Source organism: Homo sapiens, chromosome 3 (assembly GCF_000001405.40).
Source record: "Homo sapiens chromosome 3, GRCh38.p14 Primary Assembly".
Lineage (NCBI taxonomy): Eukaryota > Metazoa > Chordata > Mammalia > Primates > Hominidae > Homo > Homo sapiens.
Genome location: NC_000003.12, coordinates 175,904,354 through 175,913,324, shown reverse-complemented (window position 1 = coordinate 175,913,324; position 8,971 = coordinate 175,904,354). Strand labels below are relative to the sequence as shown.

At 38.2% G+C, this 8,971-nt stretch overlaps 1 annotated feature.

The window, feature by feature from the left end:
- Positions 7,221 to 7,777: an enhancer, noted in NCBI's record as "OCT4-NANOG-H3K27ac hESC enhancer chr3:175623336-175623892 (GRCh37/hg19 assembly coordinates)". NCBI's record gives its function as "activates a minimal SCP1, AML or CMV promoter by ChIP-STARR-seq in primed H9 embryonic stem cells {active_cell/tissue: H9 hESC(primed)}" and the evidence as "EXISTENCE:reporter gene assay evidence [ECO:0000049][PMID:30033119]".

Genomic DNA, 8,971 nt, shown 5'->3' with positions numbered 1-8,971 from the left:
TTTCATTTTGCTTTTATAACTGTAAATAATTGATCTACAACTTCTGGCGTGACAGCTGGCGACAGTTACACAATGGCACAAGGGAAGCTATGGTTAGATCCTTCTGGCCTCCTTCTTCATATGTATTCATTTGTTGGGTAAAACATTTTTGTATATAACACAAAGGCAGTTTCTAGAGTTTGTCATTTGGCCCGTATGTCTCATTTTAAACTCTCTAAAATTGCTTATCAAAAATGACTGATTTTATTTGTTACAGTGTTCCAACATCCATATGGTATGTAAGTAAAATGAGAATGTAGACAAAATATAAATGGTAATCAGGGAATTACATAGAACTCTGAAATTGTACATGACTTGTACTGGAAGTATATCATTGAAATGTAAACAGTAGAAACAACACTGTCATAAAGTGATTGAATATTGCCTATATTCTTCATAAATTTCATAAATTAGGATAGCTGGTGTGATGAGTTCTAACTGAATGTCTGTCCAAAGAATGTTTACTCTTAAAGACACGTACATATCCAACTGACTTCAACAAATACATACTAATTATCCATTGTCAGTTCTGAAATATGAGTGACTTGAATTTGAATTCTGCCTTAATTACTTACCAGAAATGTGAGTTTCCTAGTTCAGTTACATAAGTTCTCCAGTTATCAGATTTCTTTTCTGCATACCGAGAAAAACAGTACTTAACTAATACATACTTATAGGAGGAAGAAAATCTGTTTTAAGAAGATAAAAATACATAAAAGTTGGCTAACACAGCTGCAGATGCACAGTGTGTTCTCAACAAACCTAGTGGTAGCCATTTCCACTCCATCACTGCTCCCATCTTATCCTGAGCAAAGATGAAGTCATTTATCTCCACATTCTCCACAGTGTCTGCTTAAATGCTTTGTATAATAGAAAGATGTTTGTTGAATTTATCTGAACCTGAAATAGAAGATGAAAGAAAATACCAGGATAATTCAAGAGAAAACATTTCCCTTGATCTATATTATCTGACATCTCAGGTGAAATTTCTATTTTTATTTCCTTTTCTGGCCTGAGATATCTAGTAATTATCCTAAATCCTTCAATTTAGTTTGTGTGCAAAGACTCAGTCTAAGATGAATATTTATGGTTCTCCTTGGGAACTAAAGTATTTTGGCAGTTATTCAACTCACTAGATTTACTATTAAAACAGCACAACTGACTCAGCAATTTCATTCAGGTGCAGGTTCGCCTACTGTTGTAAACCTCCTGCAATAATCTGGAAAAATAAGTAAGAAATTCAATGGTTCCACCAGTTATATAGTCATTAGGAATAGGCTCCATAGTGACTTGAAGTGATTTTCTTAATTGTAATTTCTCCCTTTTTCATTATACTTGAGCCTTAAATTATAACTACCTTCCTTGAGTTCCTTATGACAGGCCTCATGCAGGCCTTTAAGTATACATAAAGAAGAAAACAGATGTGAAATCTCTTCCTCATCTATAATACAAATAAAGACAACACACATTTAACACAATAATGTCAGCTACATTCACACACGCACAAGTTTTTCTAACACTTTGTGTACATTTTTATTTCTAACTCGAAAGACACTTTCACCCCTTAAAACACATTCATCTTATAGTTTACATATCATGTGTTATAATGTAATACTATAACCACATACTTCAATTTATATCACAAATATGCTCGTATCTCTTTTATATTTCTAATTACTTAAGAGTCCACTGACATAAGGTGAACAAAGTCTTATATCTCTCTTCATCCACCTCTCACAGACCATTGTTTAAGAATGTGGGATTTGAGCAATCCAAAGGTGAAGGCAGAGACCCACTTCTAAAAGCCACATCGTTTCTCATGACCGCATGATTGAGTGTAGATAGTTGGAACTGCCTAGTCCCATGGGCATTTTTCTAATCTACAATGAGCCCTTGGTGATCTATATCAATACCTAGACTTAAGAATTTCCCCAGTTTGAAATTAAGTTTACAATTCTCTTAGTTTACAGTCTTCTGCTCGCTGCTCCCCAAAGCAGAACACGGTATTAGACAGAGCTCTAAAGGGCTTCTAGTCTCAGATTCATGACAAGGCAGAACTGAGCTCCCCCAACAAGCTGTTAGGGTAATGCATTAGCCTGAACCTCTAGTTTAAACTATCTTCTCTTCATGGAATTATTTTAAGGGTGCTGATCAGGCTCTGCTAGTTACCTAGGATGAGTTCCTACATTTGAAACTCAGGAATCAGGGATTTGGCAAATCAGGTAAATTGATCCATTTATTCTTCACATTTGCACTCCATAGATTTCATAAGAGTAACAGCATCATTTGAGTCAAAATAAATGCAGCTATACATTTTACTCCTTCTAATAGGTACTTTTTTGTTAGATTTCATCAGAATTTGATTTAGAAAATATTTTTAAATATTAAAGCCTTTTAAGTCTTTTAAAAAGATATAATTCCCCCAATTTTAAAGTAATCAAGAATCTGATGATTTAAAAACTAGTGGACAATTGAATTATAGACTAAATGTCTGCTATTGAACTATGATAGTATCATAAAAGTTATAAATAGGAATATTGCCACCTTTTATGAGAATTAGGAATTCCCTCCCTTTGAGAATGGGTTGGACTTACTGACTCAATTCTCAAAGATCTAATGTGGCATAAGTAATTTGTATAACTTCTGAGATTAAGTCATAAAAAGCATTGTGGCATCTTCCCTGCTGCCTTTCTTAGGTTACTCTTACTGGGAAAAGCTGACTGCCTTGCCCTAAAGATATTAAAGATAATCAAGTCTACAGAGATAGCCACTGAATACGGAACTGAGGTCTCCTGCTAGAGTCAGCAGTGAGTGGAGGCCTCTAACAGTGTCATGAGTGAGGCATTCTAGAAGTGAGTGGCCCAGCCTCAGTTAAGCCTTCAGATGACTGCAGCCCAGCTGACATCTTAACGGCAAGCTCATGAGAGACCCCTAGCTAACAACCACAATTTTTCTTAACCACAGAAACTGTGAGATACTAAATGTTTATTAATTTAAACCACATAATTTATTTCATAGTAATGAAAAACTAATACCATCTTTAAGAATTCTTCCCATGCACTGATTTCAACCTCTCTTTACTCAGCCTGAATTTTAATAAAGTAGCTGACCAAATGCTTCTCAAAATACTTTTTAAAAATTATTTTCTAAGCTCTGTATGGTAAGAAAATCACTAGCTGATTTGGCTTGCACACACCTACTGCATCTCCACCCTTCCTTGTCCTGCCTTCAAACTTACCTGCACTGCTCACACACTAGAGAAAACACAGCAAGGTATCATCAACTTTTGGCATCAGAATAAACTGTGAGGGAACCTACTTCAACCCATCAATCAACAAATCCAACAGATGAACTAGAACATTCATTCCAACACTCATTATCTGTGTTTGAACTCACAATATCTAAGTACTGTCTGCAGACAGCTCTCAGTCTTAGAAAGTCTTCTTTTACATTGATAGTTTTGACCCTTTGAAACTAGTTTAAATTTGAGCACAGCCATACAGGACAAGTCTAATTCCTCTCCACCAAGCAATTCTTTCCTTTAAAACTCAAGAATGAAAATCTGTTTTAACACTAGCATTAAGCAAATTTCTTTTCTTTTTTTTTGAGACGGAGTCTCGCTCTGTCGCCCAGGCTGGAGTGCAGTGGCGCCATCTCAGCTCACTGCAAGCTCCGCCTCCTGGGTTCACGCCATTCTCCTGCCTCAGTCTCCTGAGTAGCTGGGATTACAGGTGCCCTCGCCACGCCCAGCTAATTTTTTTGTATTTTTAGTAGAGATGGGGTTTCACCATGTTAGCCAGGATGGTCTAGATCTCCTGACCTCGTGATCCACCCACCTCGGACTCCCAAAGTGTTGGGATTACAGGAGTGAGCCACTGTGCCCGGCCAGCAAATTTCTTTTCTTATTTATTTATTTATTTATTTATTCATTCATTCACTTGCTTCACAAAATCTTACTGAATCCCTATTAAATACAAGTCACTATCGTTGTTCAGGATTCCACAATGTACCATTTGGTCATATAAAGGAAGTGCTACATGTAATTCAAACGTAAATGTTCATTGCAAAAACTAAATCAGAACACATGGTCATTTGCTATTTATTTCTTTTATTATTATTATTATTATACTTTAAGTTCCACAGTACATGTGCACAATGTGCAGGTTTGTTATATATGTATACATGTGCCATATTGGTGTGCTGCACCCATTAACTCATCATTTACATTAGGTATATCTCCTAATGCTATCCCACCCCCTCCCCCCACTCCACCACAGGCCCTGGTGTGTGATGTTCCCCATCCTGTGTCCAAGTGTTCTCATTGTTCAATCCCACCTATGAGTGAGAACATGCAATGTTTGTTTTTCTGTCCTTGCAATAGTTTGCTGAGAATGATGGTTTCCAGCTTCATCCATGTCCCTACAAAGGACATGAACTCATCATTTTTTATGGCTGCATACTATTCCATGGTGTATATGTGCCACATTTTCTTAATCGAGCCTATCATTGATGGACATTTGGGTTGGTTCCAAGTCTTTGCTATTGAGAATAGTGCTGCAATAAACATATGTGTGCATGTGTCTTTATAGCAGCATGATTTATAATCCTTTGGGTATATACCCAGTAATGGGATGGCTGGGTCAAATGGTATTTCTAGTTCTAGATGCTTGAGGAATCGCCACACTGACTTCCACAATGGTTGAACTAGTTTACAGTCCCACCAACAGTGTAAAAGCATTCCTATTTCTCCACATCCTCTCCAGCACCTGTTGTTTCCAGACTTTTTAATGATCACCATTCTAACTGGTGTGAGATGATATCTCATTGTGGTTTTGATTTGCATTTCTCTGATGGCCAGTGATGATGAGCATTTTTTCATGTGTCTGTTGGCTGCACAAATGTCTTCTTTTGAGAAGTGTCTGTTCATATCCTTTGCCCACTTTTTGATAGGGTTGTTTGATTTTTTCTTGTAAATTTGTTTAAGTTCTTTGTAGACTCTGGATATTAGCCCTTTGTCAGATGGGTAGATTGCAAAAATTTTCCCCCAGTCTGTAGGTTGCCTGTTCACTGATGGTAGTTACTTTTGCTGTGCAGAAGCTCTTTAGTTTATTTAGATCCCATTTGCCAATTTTGGCGTTTGTTGCTATTACTTTTGGTGGTTTAGACATGAAGTCCTTGCCCATGCCTATGTCCTAAATGGTATTGCCTAGGTTTTCTTCCAGGGTTTTTATGGTTTTAGGTCTAACATTTAAGTCTTTAATCCATCTTGAATTGATTTTTGTATAAGGTTTAAGGAAGGGATCCACTTTCAGCTTTCTACATATGGCCAGCCAGTTTTCCCAGCACCATTTATTAAAAAGGGAATCCTTTCCCCATTTCTTGTTTTTGTCAGGTTTGTCAAAGATCAGATGGTTGTACATTTGTGATATTATTTCTGAGGGCTCTGTTCTGTTCCATTGGTCTATATCTCTGTTTTGGTACCAGTACCATGCTGTTTTGGTTACTGCAGTCTTGTAGTATAGTTTGAAGTCAGGTAATGTGATGCCTCCAGCTTTGTTCTTTTTGCTTAGGATTGTCTTGGCAATGTGGGCTCTTTTTTGGTTCCATATGAACTTTAAAGTTTTTTCCAATTCTGTGAAGAAAGTCATTGGTAGCTTGATGGGGATGGCAGCATTGAATGTATAAATTATATTGGGCAGTATGGCCATTTTCATGATATTGATTCTTCCTACCAATGAGCATGGAATGTTCTTCCATTTGTTTGTGTTGTCTTTTATTTTGTTGAGCAGTGGTTTGTAGTTCTCCTTGAAAAGGTCCTTCACATACCTTGTAAGTTGGATTCCTAGATATTTTATTCTCTTTGAAGCAATTGTGAATGGGAGTTCACTCGTGATTTGGCTCTCTGTCTGTTATTGGTGTATAGGAATGCTTGTGAATTTTGCACATTGATTTTGTATCCTGAGACTTTGCTGAAGTTGCTTATCAGCTTAAGGAGATTTTGGGCTGAGACGATGGGGTTTTCTAAATATACGATCGTGTCATCTGCAAACAGAGACAATTTGACTTCCTCATTTCCTAATTGAATACCCTTCATTTCTTTCTCCTGCCTGATTGCCCTGGCCAGAACTTCCAACACTATGTTGAATAGGAGTGGTGAGAGAGGGCATCCCTGTCTTGTGCCAGTTTTCAAAGGGAATGCTTCCAGTTTTTGCCCATTCAGTATGATATTGGCTGTGGGTTTGCTATAAATAGCTCTTATTATTTTGAGGTATGTTCCATCAATACCTAATTTTAATTTATTAAGAGTTTTTAGCATGAAGCGCTGTTGAATTTTGTCAAAGGCCTTTTCTAAGTCTATTGAGATAATCATGTGGTTTTTGTCTTTGGTTCTGTTTATATGATGGATTATTTTTATTGATTTGTGTATGTTGAACCAACCTTGCATCCCAGGGATGAAGCACACTTGATCATGGTGGATAAGATTTTTGATGTGATGCTGGATTTGGTTTACCTGTATTTTATTGAGGATTTTGGGATCGATGTTCATCAGGGATATTGGTCTAAAATTCTCTTTTTTTGTTGTGTCTCTGCCAAGCTTTGGTATCAGGATGATGCTGGCCTCATAAAATGAGTTAGGGAGGATTCCCTCTTTTTCTATTGACTGGAATAATTTCAGAAGGAATGGTACCAGCTCCTCTTTTTACCTGTGGAAGAATTCGGCTGTGAATCCGTCTGGTCCTGGACTTTTTTTGTTGGTAGGCTATTAATTGTGGGGAAAAGCAAGAGAGATCAGATTGTTACTGTGTCTGTGTAGAAAGAAGTAGACATAGGAGACTCCATTTTGTTCTGTACTAAGAAAAATTCTTCTGCCTTGAGATTCTGTTAATCTATAACCTTACCCCCAACCCCGTGCTCTCTGAAACATGTGCTGTGTCAACTCAGAGTTAAATGGATTAAGGGCGGTGCAAGATGTGCTTTGTTAAACAGATGCTTGAAGGCAGCATGCTCCTTGAGAGTCATCACCACTCCCCAATCTCAAGTACCCAGGGACACAAACACTGCGGAAGGCCGCAGGGACCTCTGCCTAGGAAAGCCAGGTATTGTCCAAGGTTTCTCCCCATGTGATAGTCTGAAATATGGCCTCGTGGGAAGGGAAAGACCTGACCGTCCCCCAGCCCGACACCCGTAAAGGGTCTGTGCTGAGGAGGATTAGTATAAGAGGAAGGCATGCCTCTTGCAGTTGAGACAAGAGGAAGGCATCTGTCTCCTGCCCGTCCCTGGGCAATGGAATGTCTCGGTATAAAACCCGATTGTATGCTCCATCTACTGAGATAGGGAAAAACCGCCTTAGGGCTGGAGGTGGGACCTGCGGGCAGCAATACTGCTTTGTAAAGCATTGAGATGTTTATGTGTATGCATAGCTAAAAGCACAGCACTTAATCCTTTACGTTGTCTATGATGCAAAGACCTTTGTTCACATGTTTGTCTGCTGACCCTCTCCCCGCAATTGTCTTGTGACCCTGACACATCCCCCTCTCGGAGAAACACCCACAAATGATAAATAAATACTAAGGGAACTCAGAGGCTGGCGGGATCCTCCATATGCTGAACGCTGGTCCCCCGGGTCCTCTTATTTCTTTCTCTATACTTTGTCTCTGTGTCTTTTTCTTTCCTAAGTCTCTCGTTCCACCTTATGAGAAACACCCACAGGTGTGGAGGGGCAACCCACCCCTACAATTAATTATTGCCTCAATTTCAGAGCCTGTTATTGGTCTATTCAGGGATTCAACTTCTTCCTGGTTTAGTCTTGGGAGGGTGTATGTGCCCAGAAATTTATCCATTTCTTCTAGATTTTCTAGTTTATTTATGTGGAGGTGTTTATAGTATTCTCTGATGGTAGTTTGTATTTCTGTGGGATCAGTGGCGATACCCCCTTTATCACTTTTTATTGCATTTATTTGATTCTTCTCTCTTTTCTTCTTTATTAGTCTGGCTAGCAGTCTATCAATTTTGTTGATCTTTTCAAAAAACCAGCTCCTGGATTCATTGATTTTTTGAAGGGTTTTTTGTGTCTCTATCTCCTTCAGTTCTGCTCTGATCTTAGTTATTTCTTACCTTGCTAACTTTTGAATGTATTTGCTCTTGCTTCTCTAGTTCTTTTAATTGTGAAGCTAGGGTGTCAATTTTAGATCTTTCCTGGTTTCTTTTGTGGGCATTTAGTGCTATAAATTTCCCCCTACACACTGCTTCAAATGTGTCCCAGAGATTCTGGTATGTTGTGTCTTTTTTCTCATTGGTTTCAAAGAACATCTTTATTTCTGCCTTCGTTTCTTTATGTACCCAGTATTCATTCAGGAACAGGTTGTTCAGTTTCCATGTAGTTGAGCGGTTTTGAGTGAGTTTCTTAATCCTGAGTTCTAATTTGATTGCACTGTGGTCTGAGACAATCTGTTATAATTTCTGTTCTTTTACATTTGCTGAGGAGTGCTTTACTTCCAACTATGTGGTCAATTTTGGAATAAGTGTGATGTGGTGCTGAGAAGAATGTATATTCTGTTGATTTGGGGTGGAGAGTTCTGTAGATGTCTATTAGGTCTGCTTGGTGCAGAGCTGAGTTCAATTCCTGGATATCCTTGTTAACTTTCTGTCTCTTTGATCTGTCTAATGTTGACAGTGGTGTGTTAAAGTCTCCCATTATTATTGTGTGGGAGTCTAAGTCTCTTTGTAGGTCTCTAAGGACTTGCTTTATGAATCTGGGTGCTCCTGTATTGGGTGCATATATATTTAGGATAGTTAGCTCTTCTTGTTGAATTGATCCCTTTACCATTATGTAATGGCCTTCTTTGTCTCTTTTGATCTTTGTTGGTTTAAAGTCTGTTTTATCAGAGACTAGGATTGCAACCTCTGTTTTTTTTTTGTTTTCCATTTGCTT